At 43.4% G+C, this 17,939-nt stretch overlaps 1 protein-coding gene across 3 annotated transcripts in view, besides 2 other annotated features; it reads left to right on the top strand.

The window, feature by feature from the left end:
* The window catches only part of HMGXB3 (HMG-box containing 3), a 52,390-nt gene that overhangs the window by 29,391 nt on the left and 5,060 nt on the right, over positions 1-17,939 (top strand). For 2 of the 3 annotated variants that reach the window (NM_014983.3, NM_001366501.2), the window contains 8 exons: positions 612-710; positions 2,325-2,474; positions 6,507-6,808; positions 7,271-7,398; positions 10,619-10,750; positions 11,656-11,840; positions 15,337-15,556; positions 17,495-17,628. In NM_014983.3, the coding sequence (NP_055798.3) occupies positions 612-710; positions 2,325-2,474; positions 6,507-6,808; positions 7,271-7,398; positions 10,619-10,750; positions 11,656-11,840; positions 15,337-15,556; positions 17,495-17,628 (1,350 nt within the window). Of the gene's footprint in view, positions 1-611; positions 711-2,324; positions 2,475-6,506; positions 6,809-7,270; positions 7,399-10,618; positions 10,751-11,655; positions 11,841-15,336; positions 15,557-17,494; positions 17,629-17,939 lie in introns of those variants that run through there. The other variant, XM_047416963.1, reaches the window with a different exon arrangement.
* Positions 5,088-5,137: an enhancer, noted in NCBI's record as "active region_23395". NCBI's record gives its function as "activates an Ori minimal core promoter by ATAC-STARR-seq in GM12878 lymphoblastoid cells {active_cell/tissue: GM12878}" and the evidence as "EXISTENCE:reporter gene assay evidence [ECO:0000049][PMID:35858748]".
* Positions 5,258-5,467: an enhancer, noted in NCBI's record as "active region_23396". NCBI's record gives its function as "activates an Ori minimal core promoter by ATAC-STARR-seq in GM12878 lymphoblastoid cells {active_cell/tissue: GM12878}" and the evidence as "EXISTENCE:reporter gene assay evidence [ECO:0000049][PMID:35858748]".

Here is a 17,939-nt window from a genome sequence, read left to right on the forward strand (position 1 = left end):
TATCTTTTCTTTCTTTTTTTTAGCTATATAAGTAAAATATACATTCCTTATAAAACATTTGAGGCCAGGCATGGTGGCTCTTGCCTGTAATCCCAGCACTTTGGGAGGCTGAGGTGGGAGCATTGCTTGAGTCCAGCAGTTCAAGACCAGCCTGGGCAACATAGTGAGACCCACATCGCTACCAAAAAAAAAGCAAATTTTGTAGATAGTGGTAAAGAGGGAGAAACAACCATGATTGTCCTCTTACCCTGTGACATTTTAGTGAATAGTCTTTCAGACATCTTTCTATGCAAAGTTGTTCAACCATGTATTTATATGTATAAAAGCTATTATGTGCTTTTATAACTCAGTAGTAGTTGTAAATCTGATTCATGGTGTTTCTAATACATGGTATTAGAAACTGCACAGAAGCATGTGGCAAGGCCTGGACTTGAACATGACACTCAGCCTTTGGTGGGCTTGTGACTGCCAACTGGCAGTCCAGAGGGCTCATTTGGAGAATAGCTCTACAAATTCCCCGGGAAAGCATTCCCTCAAGTCGTTTCAGGACATGGGAGCTCAGGAGTTTGGCTAAGGTTCAAAAGCACTAAATAATTTGTTCTGATCCACAGCTACCAAGTGGCCCATCCAACAGGACTTCTCAGGTGAAAGTTGTGGAGGTCAAGCCCGATATGTTTCCTCCATATAAGTACAGCTGCACTGTCACATTGGTAAGTATGCAGCTAGGTGGTGGTGGGTTGACATGGAGGTTGTTTTGATTTTGTGGTTGAAGGTCAGTAGGAGGCTGGGGGAGAGGGTGGTGGTAGCTGGGAGGGAGAACAGGGTCAGGTATAGATTGTTAATGATGAAGATCCCATCCCTGATGCAAATAATAGCTACTGGATGAATCTGCTGGGTTGTTTTGGTCTCTTTCCAGGTGAGATTTATAAAGTGTAGGACAGCTGAGATTAGTGTATTTTTATTGAGAGTTGCCAGAGATGAGAATCTAGTCCAGATTTAACATTTAGCTGTCTTGGAACCTTTTAGCTTAGAAAGGGTGTTCCACAGTTACATTTAGGCAACGTTGCCTTTTTCTCCCTAAAACAGAGTCCAGTTCAACACGAGTATCTTAAAGTAAAATAGAGAAGTACTTTAGTAAAGCAGCTTATTTTGTTTAGCCTAGTGTTTCCCACAGGGTTTTCCCTTTATTTTTAACATAACACATATTAACGTCCTAATGGACAAATGTGTGACATTGGGATCACCCTTTTGTAGGGCAGGCAGCATAGAGCAGGGAAATAAATGCTAGACAGCTGAGAGACCTGGTCCAAAAGGAGTTCTGGCTCTGCTGCTAGCATGCCATATGCCACTGGGCAAGATTCTTTCCTTCTGTGGTCCTCAGTTTCACTATCTGTAAAGTGCTGCATTGGTTTAGACATCTTTGGGGCATCTGTCACTCTCAACATTCTCTAATTCTGTTGATGCTTAAAGTATCAACCAGCAAGATGTCTTTTGGCAGTTTCTCTAGCTGATTTGATTAAGATGAACAGATTTTGAGAGAACAGCTAGATTTTTAAAAAGTCTTGCCTCATAATGGCAGACAGGTTCAGAAAGGGTCATTCATTCCTTCAAAAAATATTTATTGAGCACATATTCTGTACTAGGATCTGTACTGGGGATTCAGTAGCAAACAAGACAGCACAATGTGATGGGTTAATGTCTGGCCTGACCTGATCCATAAGGAGAATGTGTCTCTTATCCTGGAGATCTGCTCAGGTTTCTTTCTCTTGTGACCTAAATATAATCACTACCTTTTCCATGCCTTCACTCACCACTCCCTTTGGCTACAGGAGGCAACTAGATTTACCATTTAGGGGGAACTACCCCTGAGTAGACCCTCTCTTCTGCTGATTAGATAGTAACTTGTCATAGGAGCTTAGATGCTAGAGCTTTGAGCTTTAATAGTCTGTAAGTCACAGTTTGTCTTCAGGCAGGGCTTGAACTCTTTAGTTCACCAGTCTCAAGCACTCTTTGTTTAAACAGACCTGCTTTACTCCACCAACTGCCTGGACCCTGAAGGCATTTGAGTTTCTGACCATTGAGAGTCAACTCTCCTGTTTCACAGATAGGGAAGGACTGGACTGGATTTGCCAAAAATTTACAGCCTGTATTAAAAGTAAAAGAGTTAACTGCAGAAAAGGTTAAGGCTCTTGAAGTTAGGCTGAATCTGGTTTGCAGTTGCCACTCTCTTCTCTGATTTACTGGCAGCTGCTCATTCTGGTTCTGGGTTCTGCCCAGGTTTAACTTAATTTTTGTAGAATTGAACACTGGTCTTACTTTTTTAGGATTTGGGCCTGGCTACATCAAGAGGCCGGGGAAAGTGCAAGAATCCCTCTTGTAGCTATGTCTACACCAACAGGCACAAACCTCGAATTTGTCCCAGCTGTGGTGTTAACCTTGCCAAAGACCGGACTGAGAAAACCACCAAGGCTATCGTGAGTTCCTTCCCCCAAACACATCCCCTGGCCTGTTCTGGGCTCTGTTAGTGAACCTGTCTTAGTAGAAATAAGAAGATTTTTAAAGTACATGGTGGTAGTTAGAGCATCCAAACTGAACCAGTTGGTGGGTTCTGAACCTGAGCAAGTGCCGCCTTTTCTCTGAGCCTCCTTGTCCCCATTGCCAGGGTGAAGGGGTTGACTAGGTATCTTGATCTCTGAGAACCAAGAGTTCACTCACTGCAGAGAATGATGTAGCACAGGCCTTAAGTAGGAGTGAAAGGAGAGGGACGAAAGGGTTGCATCCTCTTACCGCTGAGGCCTGATACAAGACCTGTAAGTTGATTTACTGTTTCGGTAAATAGAGAATGCCAACCTGAGACTTTGCAGATTAGACCACCGCTGCTTTCTCAGGCTCCTTGGAAAGCTTTTAGTTAATCAAAGCTTTATTTCTAGCAGTCTAGGCAGCCCTCCTCTCTGAAGTTGGGCCAAACTACTTGGGTAGTAAAATACATTCCACTTGGCTCCTTAGGGCTGCTATTATTATTATTACTATTACCAGGAAAAATGGGCATTTTCAGAGGTCCCCAGAATTTCCATATGAGTTTTTTAAAGTGAACAGAAAATGGTGGCACTTGAGGCAGCAAATGGAAGGACTAAAATAAGGATGAGAAGAGAAATGTCACTGGTCTGCCTTGGGGAAAGAGGGGATGGCACACAGAACAGGTCAGGACCTGAGATGGAGCCTGGTCACTCCAGATCAAGGCTGGACCTTGAAAGGCAGGCAGGTTTTGAATGGAAGGGGAAGGCATGCCATACTTAAGTCTCTCCCACTAGACTGTAGTCTGGTGAGTGAACATGAAGTGTGAGTATGGATAAGGATAAGTGTGAGTGATAAGGATAAGTGTGAGTGAACATGAAGAGTGTTCCATTTGGCTGGAGGAGATGGCGTGGGGGCATGGGGTGGGAGAAGGGGTGTTACGGAAAATAAGACGTGAAAAGCATCTTGGAACCATGTCATGGAAGGTCTTGTCAGTTTGTTCTTTAGTCAGTGGGGTCCTACTGAATGTCCTTGAGCCGGGGAGAGGCCTAGAGGAAAGTTATTTCAAGAGGGGAATTTATGGGATGAGAGTTTGGGAGTAGACAGGACTACAGAGGTGGGGAGAACTGCTTCAAGCTTAGAGGTTTATTTGTATATGGAGAGAGGCCTTTTTGATGATGAATCTCACCCTGGTCTCCAGAGTCTGTTTCCGTGCTTGAGGTGATGTTCTGAGGTTATTGTCCTTGTGAGAAAGGAAAGTGGAACCAAAGTATGTGGGCACTAATGGCTTGGTGGGAAAAACACTGGGGCTGGGAGTGACCCTGAGTTGGAAGCTTCCCTCTCCCGAGCTTTAGTTTCTCCATTGGTAAAGTAAGGTGGGCAAGGTAGATTAGATCTGGGCATTTTACTCTTAAGAGACAGGAGCCTTAGAGAAGACTGATAATTGAGTTTTAAGGAGTTTATAAATCCCTGAAATTGCATGCAAAATGGGTCCGTAGCTTTCATCAGATTCTCTTGCTCCACTGGATGCCTGCTGCTGGAAGTAAGCTTTCTTCCCGGATTTTCAGTGGGTTTCAAAGTGCTCTTCTTGCCATAGCATTGATCACACCCCATATTGACTGCTTTTCTTAACTCCCTATGAGACCACAATCTCTTCTAGGGCAGGTATGTCTGTTTTTCCTGCACCTTCTAACCCTGGAGCTTACATATACAAAGTGTGTCTATCTGTAATTAGGAGATAGAATTGAGTTCTGTGTAGGTAGAAGCTCTGAGCATTCCTTTCTCCTTCCAGTTCATTTTAGCTATTTGCGCGGTTTGCAGTGGAAGTGGGTGTTACTCTCTAGATCTAGGATGATGAAGGAACTTAACTTCTCAGGTGACATAGGAAATTATCTAGGGACCTCTTGCCAATTTCAAATCCCACTCTTAAACTTATATCCATCTGTATTTGGTTAACTGAGAACTGCCCACCCCCAGGACCCTCATCTGCAGACCTTCCATCACTTTCCAATCTCCTAAAGTTTGGAGAAATACAGTGTAATTACTGCTTTCCAGAAAATAAAGCACTGGTCAGAACCACAGGGATCTTCTTGTGTGTTGTCATTTGGAGCCCCCTGGTAGCCAGATGTTTTCACATCTCTGAGATGGAATGGTCTTTAGTCCTTTCTATCCTTCATCTCTGGCGAGAGTCACGGGACAGTATTCCTGCCAAGTGGTCTTCCAGCTGTGGTTTCATAGTCATGACTGAGAACACACAGCCTCTCGGGGCAGCTCATTCTAGTGTTAGTCAGCTCTTCTGTAGCCACTGATTAATTAATTCTCTCAGCCAGCCTATATTGAATGCCTGCTATGGGCCAGGCTTTCAGAGATGAATAGGACGTGGCCCTTTCCCTTGAAGAGCTTACAGTCTAGTGGGAGAGAAAGATAACCAAGCTATTACAAATGAAAGTTGTCATAGGTATGCGGAGTTAATAAAAAGCTCCTTATTAAGTGTCCTAGTCTGTTTTGTGTTGCTATAAAAGAATACCTGAGGCTAGGCAATTTATAAAGCAAAGAGGTTTATGTGGCTCATAATTTGGCAGTCTGTACAAGAACCATAGTACCAACATCTTTTTTGGTGAGGGCCTCAGACTGCCTCCACTCATGGTGGAAGGCAAGGGGAGCCAGCATGCATAGAGATCACATACAGAAAAAGGAAGCGAAACTCATTCACCACCTCCCTTGCTCCTGCCCCACGATAATCTACTCATGAGGGATCTGCCCCCCTGACCCAAGTACCTCCCTTTAGGACCTGCCTCCAACGTTGGGGATCACATTTCAACATGAGATTTGGAGACGGTAAACATCCAAACTATAGCATTAAGCATTTAACTTCTACAGAGCCATGTATAATATGTCCATCACATATGAATCAGTATCTTATGTGTGTCTCAGGCATCATGCTGGTTGGGAATCAGTAAATAAGCAGAATCCTACCCTTACTGAAGCGGGGAGGGTGGTGGTTTAGCAGCTGTCAGATGATGAATTCTGCAGTCAAGGGGTGCACTCAGAGAACACAAAGCGGGGAGTGATTTATGCTGCCTTGGCAAAAAGGATCAGGGAGAAGCTCCATTGAAGAGAGACCTGCTTGAGAAAGACCTATTTTTAATGAGTATTTCAGAACATTGTTCCTGGAAGCCTCTGACTGGTATACAAAATTACCTTGTACCCAGAAGCCACCGAGAATTAAAGACAGATAACTTTAAGCAGTGCAGATACTTGTTTATGTATCAAAACTATCATTCATAGAGCCTTCATTGCACCATAGGCATTGTGCTAAGTGCTTTACTTATAATATCTTACTTAATCTGTATAATGGCTCTAAGAGATTACTATTTTTATGCCCCATTTCACAGATGAGGAAATTGAGACTCAGAAAGATTAAGTAAATTGCCTTGGGTCCCACATACACAGCTGTTAAGTGGCATATCCAGAACTGAAACCTGGGTCTGTTATCCTCTAAACCCCATACCTGATGAATGAGAGCTAAGTGTTGAATCCATTACCAAGAGTTGTATATAATCCTCTCATTTACTGATACAGGTTGACTATCCTGTATCTGAAGTGCTTGATACCAGAAGTGTTTTGGATTATTTCATAATTTGCAATATTTGCAGAATACATACTGCTTGAGCATCCCTAATCCAGTGATTCAAAATCTGAGATGTCTAATGAGCATATCCCTTGAATGTTGTCTCAGTGGTCAAAAAATTTCAGATTTCAGAGCATTTTGGATTGGGGTGCTCAACCTGTAGAGAAACTGAGCCCCACAGAGAAAAATAACCAGCCTTTAGTCACACAGTGAGTTATTAGCTGAGCTGGTTAGGAACCTAGGTTTGCCACCTATCAGTCATGGGCCCCATCTGTCTGCTGCTCCCAGACTTTTATTATTTTAGCCTGAAGCTGGCTCTTTCTGCTCTGAGTGCTTGGTGATCAATCCACTCTCTTCCCAGGAGGTGAGCTCACCACTCCCAGATGTACTGAATGCCACAGAGCCCCTGAGCACAGCCCAGAGGGAGATCCAGCGCCAGTCCACACTGCAGCTGCTGCGCAAAGTCCTGCAGATTCCTGAGAATGAGTCAGAGCTGGCTGAGGTCTTCGCCTTGATTCATGAACTCAACAGCTCTCGACTTATCTTGTCCAACGTGAGTGAGGAGACAGTCACCATCGAGCAAACCTCTTGGTCGAATTATTATGAGTCTCCGTCCACGCAGTGCCTTCTCTGTAGCAGCCCATTATTCAAAGGGGGACAAAAGTAAGCACCCCTTAACTCTGCCCCTAGCTACCCCATCCCATTTGGCTCATACTGCTCTTTTCTTCAGAAAACATTAAAACTATAACTGTGAAGATGTTATTCTCTGCCGTTTTTAGGCTTCCTTTAACTTTCTGATTGCTGAAAGTAAAGTAATAATTGGTAATTATCATTTCTGTTGAAATGCCTGAAAGTTATCACCAGATTAGGATTTAGTTTACATCTGGACTGCCCCACACAATGTTTAGGTTTGGGAGTTCATTGGGATTGGTTAAATTATGTAATAAATTCAGAGTTACATTAATTGTAGGGATGATTCCACAGATTCCAACAAAGTGGAAATACCTACCTAGAAAATCCTAAGCTCCAGCAAATGAGAATTTGCCATTGATCACTGAGCCCTGGAACTCCATAAAGAAGTCTCTTTCCCTTCTTTTTTTTTGTTGGTGATGTTTCTGGTACTAGCTCCCTGGCTGGGCCCCAGGAGTGCTGGCTGCTGACAGCCAGCCGTCTGCAGACAGTGACTGCCCAGGTGAAGATGTGTCTGAACCCCCATTGTCTGGCCCTGCACAGCTTCATAGACATCTACACAGGTGGGTGCCAACCTTCTCTTCCCTCAGAGCATCCCAAAGCAGGCTTGGGAACTGCCTCTATGGATGAGACCTCTGGCCCTTTGAGGACTGGGCCTTCTCAGATGGGGCTTCTGAGGAAGGGGGAGTCTTCTTCCTAAATGTCTTAGTCCCACAAGATGACTTTTACCTCTCAAGTGTTGAAGCTCTCAACTGGGATCTTTAAAATAACAGATCTTCATTGTGGAAGGGCTGGAAAATGCAGACAAATAAAAAGAGGAAACAAAAAATCAAGAGCATTGCTACTGCCATGAGATAAACACTTATTTAACAGTGTGATCAATCTTCCAGAAATGTTTATTCATCTGTGCAGAATATAAGAAATTATAGGATGTATAGGTTTATAGTCTTTCTTTGAACAAAAGTACGGTTGTGCTAGATGTTGTTTTGGAATGTGCTTTTTAAACTTAGGGGTACATTGTGGGCATCTTCCTGTGCCAGCAAGTAGAGAAGTACATGACCATTTTTATAGGGATGTATGGTGCTCCAGTTTACACTTTTGTGATTCAGTCTTTGTGTACAGCCCTAATTTGTCTTTTGGACAAATACTCAGAAGTGGAATTGCTGCACATTTACCCTTTCCTCCCCTATTATTCATCAACATCAGGCATTTGTGGAACACTCACCGTGTACCAGCCATTTTAAGACTTTGGTTGAATCCTAAGTTTTGTTTGTAGAATTGAGTGCTGAAGATGAAAGTGTATTTTTGATGTATTCTCTTTGTCTTAGAACTTAATGGTGCTTTATTTTGAATTCATGTTTTTAATGTCTTATATTATTAGATTGAGTTTGTACTATTTTATGCTCTTGCCAACAGTTAACAAAAGTGCCTATTACCCTGTTGTCTATCCAGGCTAGTACTCAGGATTATATATTTATTTAGTCAACATGTATTTTAAAATTTACATGTAGTTAAGTGTGTTGCTCCAAGTTCCATAAGTTCTGACAGATGCACTAAGTGGTGTAACTACCTTCACAATCAATATATAGAACAGGTCTATCACCCAAAACATTCTCTTTTACTGTTCCTTTGTATTTAAACCCATCCCTCTCCCCCAACCTCTGGTAACTGTTTGATCTCATCTTTATCCATATAGTGTTCTCTTTCCCAGAATGTCATGTGAAAGCAATTATGGCACGTAGCCTTTTGAGTCTGGCTTCTTTCAGTAAGTTAATCCTTTGAGAGTCATCCATATTGTGTTTATCAGTGATTTATTCCTTTTTATTGTGGAGTAGTTTTCTGTGGTGTGGATGTACCACAGGTTGTTTAGCTGTTCCCCATGGGAGGATATTTGGTTTGCTACCGGTGTTTGGCAGTTACAAATAGAGCTGCTACAAATATTTGTGTACCAGCTTTTGTGTGAACCTAAGTTTTCATTTCTCTTGGGTAAATACCTAGGAGTCAGATTGCTGGGTCATGTGGTAAGTGTGTGTTTAATTTTATAAGAAAACTGCATTACCAAAGTGGCTGTACCATTTTGCATTCCTTCCCACAATGGGTAAAAGTTACAGTTTGCTCTACATGCCAGTACTTAGCATTATCTGTTTTTGTTTTTCAGCCATTCTAATAGGTGTGTCTCCGTATAAACTGTAGAGTCAGCTTGTCAATATCTACAAAGTCCTGCTTGAATTTTAATTGGATTGTGTTCAATCTGTACACATCAATTTGGGAAATTTTGACATGCCTAACAATGTTGAATCTTCCAGTCCATAGTCTTTCTCTCCATTTTAATAGGTTGTCAGTTTTTCTAGTTTCAGCATATAGGTCCTGCCCATATTTTGGTAGACTTACATATAAGTATTTTACTTTTTTTTTTCAGTGCTAAATGACATGGTTCAATTTCTAGCTATTCATTGCTAGTATAGAAGTATAATTAAGTTTGTCTGTTGACTTTGTTTTTGTAAATATTATAATTTTTTTAAGTTTATCAATTTTATAGGTAAAAACTTGTGTATAATCAGGTAATTTGTTGTATTTCTTTGTAGTAGGTAGAGTATATGTCCTTTTTATGATCCTTTATGGGTTTTTTTCTATAGTAAATTTCTTTTGTGTTTTCATTCTTCTTTTGGTCTTTTTTGTTGACAGTTTTCTCCCAGTTTATCGCTCTATTTATTCAGTTTTACCTCTAGCCTGTCAGAATGTGATATCAGTTGTCTTTTACATTTGTACCTGGTGATTTCTGGGGGCGTCATGACTTTTGCTTTTTAAAAAATATTTGTATGGGACCAGAGCTTTGCTCTCCCTTGTGGTTTCAGCCTTTGCACTTCTCCTTACCCTTCTTCACTGGGAACACATACTCCAAAATTTGCTTTTGTGCAGATTAGTGCATTATGTTTTGTGCACATATAAAATCACCCACTTTTATTTGTCTTAAATTGACTGCGCTTAAATTCCTCAGATTCATTCATTTCAGGATTTGGTGTTGGAGTGATTTCATAGCCTTTGTTGTACCCCTTACACATTCATGAGCTAAAGGATGCTCCTGGCCTTTCCCCAGGTGAAGTTGTGTGAGGTGTAAAGGAAGAGTGATACCTTTGGTCCTGAGGACTGAGCTGGGTGGGAAGAAAGTGTTCCTTTTTTTTATTGGGGGAAAAAGATCTACTATATGTACTATTTCATTATTTTTTGTTTGTTTGTTTAATGATGTATTATAGGCAACTTTGCGTCAGAACAGTTAGATCTACTTCTTTTTAAAAAAAAATGGATTCCATGTTGGAATACTTTATTCTTTTTAATGCTTTCTATTTTATGAATTCACCATAAATTAATTAACCCTTTCCCTATTGATGGGCATTTAGTTGTGGGGTTTTTGTTTTGCCTTTTTCAAGATATATAACTTGAATAAAATAGAGATGGGGCTTTGCTATGTTGTCCAGGCTGGTCTTGAACTCCTGGGCTCAAGCGATCCTCCCACCTTGGGAGACTACAGGTCTCCCAAAGTGCTGAGACTACAGGCATGAGATTACAGGCCATACCTGGCCTGTTTTGTTTTTTTGAGATGGAGTCTCTCACTGTGTTACCCAAGCTAGTCGACAACTCCTGGGCTCAAGCGATCCTCCTGCCTCATCCTCCCAAGTGCCTGCAACTACAGGCACGTGCCACCGCACCCAGCTGGTGTGTATTCTATTTTTTGCCATTGTGTATGATACATTAATTTCCTTGTTGCCTCTTCTTAACCTGCAGGTCTCTTTAATGTGGGGAACAAGCTGCTGGTAAGCCTGGACTTGCTTTTTGCAATCAGAAATCAGATCAAGCTCGGAGAGGACCCCAGAGTGTCCATCAATGTTGTTCTGAAGTCGGTGCAGGAGCAGACAGGTAAAAGTTGTTTTCTTCCCTTTCCCAAGGTTAGTCCTAAGCTCCCTCGGAATTTTCAGTGATGGCATTTGGTTAAAAGACTCATTTTGAAGAAGAGTCTGATTATTTTGAAAAGGAGACATTCTTGACTTCCTAATACACTCTTCCTTTTGAATTTTACAAATGCCAAACTAATTTTGGAAAGCATGAATCTTTTTGTGCATCCAGGGACCCTTAGCAAGAGATTACGAGTGACTTGTAGAAGTACCTTCTTTGGTCATAGGGAGACTTGGCCCCATTGCATGTTAGACTCATTCTGACCACACAGCTCCTGGATATCTGCTTCCAGTCCCAAGGCTCATGCCAAGACCTAAGAGTGAGGACCATCCTTTCTGTCTAGAATATTTTTCCTCCATGCCCTCTTTACTCCTATTTGTGCTTTTCCCATCCCATTCCTATAGGCTCCAATCCCCCTCTACCTTACCTGCTGTGAGAACAGATGGAGTAGAGCCTACTAGAGTTACATGGGCCTGTGTTTCAGTCTTGGCTCTGCCACTGTTGCAGTGTGATTTTGAGCAAGTTATTCTTGTGCCTCTGTTTCTCCAGTTATAAAATGAGGATAATAGCTCCTCGTTCATAAAGAATTAAATTGAGGTGAGATTAATGACATAACATATCCAAAGCTTTCAGCACAGCATCTAGTACTTAGTACAAGGCAGCTATCACTCCAGTGGGAATTGCTCTTTGGGTTGCCACCTGAGCACTTGCAGGCCAGATCCCTGACCCTCAGGGTAGGTAGTACACTGGAGTGTTCTTTAAGGTGAATCAGTCTGGCAGAATTGCTCTACTTACTACCCACTGGCTCATCCCTAGTGGCTTCAGTGTCTTTTTCTGTGCCCTTCTCAGTGTTCTTGCTCTTCTTTCAGAGAAGACTCTGACCTCGGAGGAGCTGAGCCAGCTGCAGGAGCTGCTGTGCAATGGCTATTGGGCCTTTGAGTGCCTCACTGTCCGAGACTACAATGACATGATCTGTGGCATCTGTGGTGTGGCCCCCAAAGTGGAAATGGCTCAGAGGAGTGAAGAGAATGTGCTAGCACTGAAGAGCGTGGAGGTAAGTGCCTCTTAGCCACCGTGAGGGACCTGCGGAATTTTCTCATTTTGGCACCTCCCTTCCTATATGATATCCCCAGGGGGTGGATAGCTCCAGTCCTGTCTAGGTGAGGCAAGTGAGTTTTTCCTCCCACAGCCCAAGATTTCATTTAGGGAATGCCAGATGGAAATGGAGGCATTTGTTTATTCAGTTACTCACTTGAAAAATGTATTTATCCAGTGAATAAGTATCAAAAAATATATATAGTAAATATATTGAACATAAACTAAATGCATGTTTTAGACACCTGGGAGATAGTAGTTAAACAAAGTTTCTGTCCTCATGGAGCTCACTTTCTGGTTTGGAGGACACAGGAAACAAATATCTGTCCAGGAGTAGTGAGTGCTGTGAAGCACAGTAAAGCTGGGTAAGAGAGAGAGAACAGTGTCATGGGAAAGGGCATTTGTATTTTATAGAGGGCAGTGAGGGGGGAAGGCCCCTCTGATACAGTAGCATTTGAGTAGAGATCTGAAACCCATGTGGCTTTGTGGAGGAATATTCCAGGCAGAGGGAACAGCTCGAACAGGGTCTGAGGAAGGCTTGCTGGGTATGATTGAGGACCAGCAAGGAGACCAGTGGTGCAGCTCAGAGTGTGGGAGGGAGGGAGGGAGTGGTGGGGTGTATGAGGTCCAGACAGTGCAGGAGGCCGACGCTATGTAGGGTAACATGGGCTATTTTAAGGACTTACACAGAGTGAAATGGAGAGCCACTGAAGGGGTTGGAGGAAAAGAGTGACCTGAGCTAACTTAGGTTCTGAACTGAAAAATTTTCACACAATAATAACATCAAACTCAGATGGCTTCATAGATTAATTAGAACAAATATCCAAGAAATATTATTCCAAACATAGGCAAGTAACAAAAGTGGGCATGTTTCCCCAACTCATCATATAAGGTTGTATAACTTTGGAAACCAAATCAGACATTTGATGTAAGAGAAGAAATTGGGGCTGAATATACTCATGAATATAGATGAAAGTCTGAATAAAATAATAGCAAATCAGATCTAACACAGTAATGCATCATGACAAAGTTAAACACAGGAAAGCAAGGTTGTTTCAGCAGTAGGAAATATGTTAATGTAATTCACTACTTAACCGATTAAAGGGGAAACCCTATATGATAATTTCATTAAATGTATGGGGAAAAAAAAGTTGTCCAGTATGATTCTACACCCATATTTATGATAAAACTTTTAGCAAACAGAACAGTAGGAAATCTTCCTTAACCTTCTTTAGGGTTTAAAAAAAAATCCCATAGATTACTTTTCCCTGTGATCATGCTATGAGGTCTGGTCTACACTCACAGGCAGGGACTGCGCCTTGAATATGCCAGTAGTTGCATAGGAGTGTGAGGTTTCCATCTCTGAACTCTACCATAGTAAACAAGAGCCTGGGACATGAGCTGACTTTCAGGTACTGGACTTGCATCTCATGTGTTCACTGATCAGGCAGGTGCAGAACCTGTAGAGAACAGCTTTGGTGTATTCTGGCAGGACCACTAGACATATTAAGGGTTGAATGCATAGTCCTGTCTTTTACTTCCCAAGTAAGAAACCAGGCAACTAAACCATTTTGTTTGTGTTATCTCATCTAGAGGCTGTTTCCAGATTGATTCAAATCCGCTTGCCTAGTAGTAGTGTTAATAATAATGCAGCTAAGATTTATTGAGCATTTTATTACTATGCCAAGTTCTTAATCTGTGCTAAGTGCTTTACTATATGACTTAATTTTCCCTACAACCCCATGAGGTTTTTATAGACATAGGCACTGAAGCCCAAGGGCCTTGCCCAAGCTCACCCAGCCAGAGAAGGGTGGGGCTGAGATTGACCTTGCTCTTTCTCAGCCGCTGACTGTGGAGTCTGCACCCTAAGCACTGCCATTCTCACCAGTACCTCCTACGACTCTGAGTTCTGTTTCTTCTGATCATATCTGGCCACAGCAAGTTTATGGTTTCCAAGAATAGACAGAGGCCCACCTCCCTGCAAAGGTGCCATCTCCTAGTCCTGCCTGGCACCCGTCCTGTCCCAATCAAGGCTCCTCTGTCCCAGAATGGAGTAGCATTCCCTTCACTCTCAGTTTGCTTGTCTCTTTCCTTCAGTGGTACCAGGTACTTCTTTCATAGAGGTACTTCTTTGTTTTGTGTGTGGAGAGTAGTGTGGTATGTGTGGGGAGAGAGTATCCTGAAGTCTGTGAACTAAAACAGGAAGTTATTGAACAAAACTTAAATATGCTGTTATCCATGAAGAGACTTGTCAGCCCCTCTCTCGGAGTTGTATAAAGGAGGACCCTGTGGTTAGTTTGTGTACTGGGTTGGCATTTCCTGTTCCCTTGCTCCTTGTGGAGAGGATAGACTCAGCTGGCCTCATTCCCCTAGGTGTGCCATTTACACAGAGCATGCACTAAGCACCCCTGTGAGGTGGCAAACAAAGAGGAATAAGGTGAGGAGAGGAGCCTTTATGGGGAGCAGTGGTTCTTGGACTTTAGTGGGTATAAGAACTACATAGGGCAGTGGTTCTCACAACTTTTTACAGTGGAGGGCTTGCTGGGTCCCACCCACAGGATTTCTGACTCAGGAGATCTGGAGTGGGGCCAGGAATTTGCATTTCTAACAAGTTGTCAGATGATACTCTTGCTGCTTGTCCAGGACCACCCTTTGAGAACCATTCCTCTGAGGAAACTTTTTTAAATGCAAAATTAGGAGTTTAGTTCATACAGCTCAAGATGTGGCCAAGGTTTTTACATTTCTAATAAGTAAGCTATACAACTGTGATTGAGGTATTAGGATCCGGGTCACGTTTTGAGAGCCATATAAGAGGGCATTGCAAGAAGAAAAATTGAGTAGCACAAGCGCTATTAATAGATGTCTATAAGAGATAAGTAAATGCTGCCCTGGGTAGAGGAGATAGCTGTGTGCTGATGATGTGTGGGAGGATGTCGGCAATCCACAGGGCCTTGGAAAATGGCTGGAATTTTACTCAATAGGATTCTGCTCGTTCTTGCCAGCCTGGTATCAGCAGTAAGGGTTTGGGCTTTGGAACTAGACCTGTGTTGACGTGATTGTTCTGTCTCTTCGAGTGCTTGAATACTCACCTCAGCCATCCCCAGACTTGTTTTTTAGTAGTTCATTACAAAGTGTCTGGCACATAACAGGTACTCAAATGGTAGCTCCACTTTCTTTGTAAGACAGGGAAAATGACATAAACAAAGGTATAGAAACAGAAGGGATTTAGGAACTATTCATGTCTGGGAGAGTACTATGGTGTGAGGGAAAGAAATGTGACCAAAAGGCAGGTGGGTACAGAGCTGTCAAATTCAAGGCCCTGTGGCAGTGCCTGGCTGTCTGACTTCCCTTCACCAAGCCTTGGCTTCCCTGTGTGTATAATGACGGGGTAGGCTGTTGTGTTGCTGATGTTCTGTGACTCCCACAGTTTGACCTTCTTTATCCTGACCTTCTAGTTCACCTGGCCTGAATTCCTGGGCTCTAATGAGGTAAATGTGGAGGACTTTTGGGCCACGATGGAGACAGAGGTGATTGAGCAGGTGGCATTTCCTGCCAGCATCCCTATCACCAAATTTGATGCGTCTGTTATTGCCCCCTTCTTCCCACCACTCATGAGAGGAGCTGTGGTCGTCAACACTGAGAAAGACAAAAACCTGGATGTGCAGCCAGTACCTGGTAAGGCCACCTGGTGGCTGACTGGGGTCAAAAAAGGGCTCAGTCAAGAGTCTGGGACATTGTCCATGGCAAGATAGCACAGTGGTAGCGAGAGGGCCAGGCCCCGCTGCAGGACTCCTTTCAGAAAGATAATAACAGCCCGTGTCAAAATCCCCTAGAGTTTAAAGTTGTGGTGCAGAGTTTTGAAGAGCTGTCCTCCATCTTACATAGCAGGGGCGCACAGCTCATTGTCAGCCTTCTGGGATACACACACTGAGTAGCAGAACTCCTATAAAAAATGCTGATAAGGCTCCATCCCCAAAGGTTTTCATTGAGCAAGTGTAGGGGCAGGCCAAGGAATCTGCCTTCAAAACAGGCCTCCCAGAGGGTTTTGCAGCTAGTTTTATGGATTAGACATTGAGAAACCCTGGACTAGCGGGTAAGAGGATAGGTTTCTAACAGCTTGAGTTTGATTCCCAGCTTTGCCACTTAGCTGTGTGACCCTCTGTCAGGTCCCATCATTGCCCTAAGCCACTGTTGCTTCTTTTACAAAGAGGGTGCGATAATAGCTACCCACTTCCTAGATCACTGAAGATAAAGTGAGCTAATGCGGTTAGAGTGATAGCCGCCTTTTTTAACTGTAACCCATAGTGAGAAATACATTTTGTGTCATGACGCAGAATGATATTCGTACATATGCAAGTGTGTATAACTGAAACAACATTCCCAAAACAGTATTTTTCTTTATTTTCTATCTTATTTCATTTTTGAATTTTTGGATATGACCCACTCAATTGATATTGTAATCACTTAATATGTTGTGATCCACTGGTTCTCAAACAGTGCTTCCTAATATTAGATATTGAGGCTGGGCACGGTGGCTCACGCCTGTAATCCCAGCACTTTGGGAGGCCCAGGCGGGCGGATCACGAGGTCAGGAGATCGAGACCATCCTGGCTAACACGGTGAAACACCATCTCTACTAAAAACACAAAAAATTAGCCGGGCATGGTGGCGGGCGCCTGTAGTCCCAGCTACTCAGGAGGCTGAGGCAGGAGAATGGCGTGAACCCGGGAGGCGGAGATTGCAGTGAGCCGAGATCGCGCCACTGCACTCCAGCCTGGGCGACAGAGCGAGACTCCGTCTCAAAATAAATAAATAAATAAAAATAAAAAGATACTGAGGTCCACCTCATATTCCTGCTAATATTTTAAGGGCCCAGGCATCTTTTTTTTTTTTGAGACGGAGTCCTGCTCTGTTGCCCAGGCTGGAGTGCAGTGTTGTGATCTGGGCTCACTGCAACTCTGCCTTCCGGGTTCAAGCAGTTCTCCTGTCTCAGCCTCCCAAGTTGCTGAGACTATAGGCGCACGCCACCACACCACCACACCTGGCTAATTTTTTGTATTTTTAGAAGAGATGGGGTTTCACCATATTGGTCAGGCTGGTCTTGAACTTCTGACCTCAGATAATCCACCTGCCTCGGCCTCCTAAAGTGCTAGGATTACAGGTGTGAGCCACTGCACCCGGCCCCCAGGGATTATTTTTTTAAGGTGCCCCCACATAGTTCTCTTGTGCTAGCCAGGTTCAGGAACGTTGTGTAGAGGGCACTTTTAAACCGAGAGCTGCTGTTCTTTTCTTATTGATGCAGTCATGGTAAGCATCTGAGGTCTTGGTTCTGAAAAACCTTAGAAGACTGGATTAAAAGCTGACTTATTTTAGGGTTTTTTTCAGTGGCGGTATGCAGGATATCTCACTCAGATGTTCCAGGGCAGAAAGCCAGTTGTAATAGACTTCAAATATCTGCAGAAAGCGTGGACCTGACTTGAGTTCCACCTCTGCCAGCACTGGGGGAGGGCTTGGTGCAGAGCTGGCTTCCACTGTTTGCTGTTTTGTGGGCCTAGCCTTGGCCTCTGGTGACTGGCGGCAGCACCCTCCCACCAGCACTGTTGTCTCTTGCAGGCAGTGGCAGTGCCTTGGTGAGGCTGCTCCAGGAGGGCACCTGCAAGCTTGATGAGATTGGCTCCTACAGTGAAGAGAAGCTGCAGCACCTGCTAAGGCAGTGTGGAATCCCCTTTGGGGCAGAAGACTCCAAGGTGAGTGTCAAGGGCAGTGGTGGATATCGGGGCTTCTGGAGTAGGCTGATTGGTCCACTTTTTAGGTCAGGGATATGAATATCTGTGATGGCATCTGCCTTGGACACAAGGTGCTGGCAGTCAGGGATGCCTAGGAGATGGTCAACAGCTAGATGTGACATGTATGTGGGGCCTGGCCTCTAACAGTTCCTCCTGTTGAAGGTTGTGAGCCTAGGCTCTGGGGTCAGGAATCCTGGCTCTCCTCCTTACTGTGTGTGACCTTGGATAAGCTGCTTTATATTTTGAGCTTCATTTTCCTTGTTTGTAAAATG

This window comes from Homo sapiens, chromosome 5, assembly GCF_000001405.40.
Source record: "Homo sapiens chromosome 5, GRCh38.p14 Primary Assembly".
Lineage (NCBI taxonomy): Eukaryota > Metazoa > Chordata > Mammalia > Primates > Hominidae > Homo > Homo sapiens.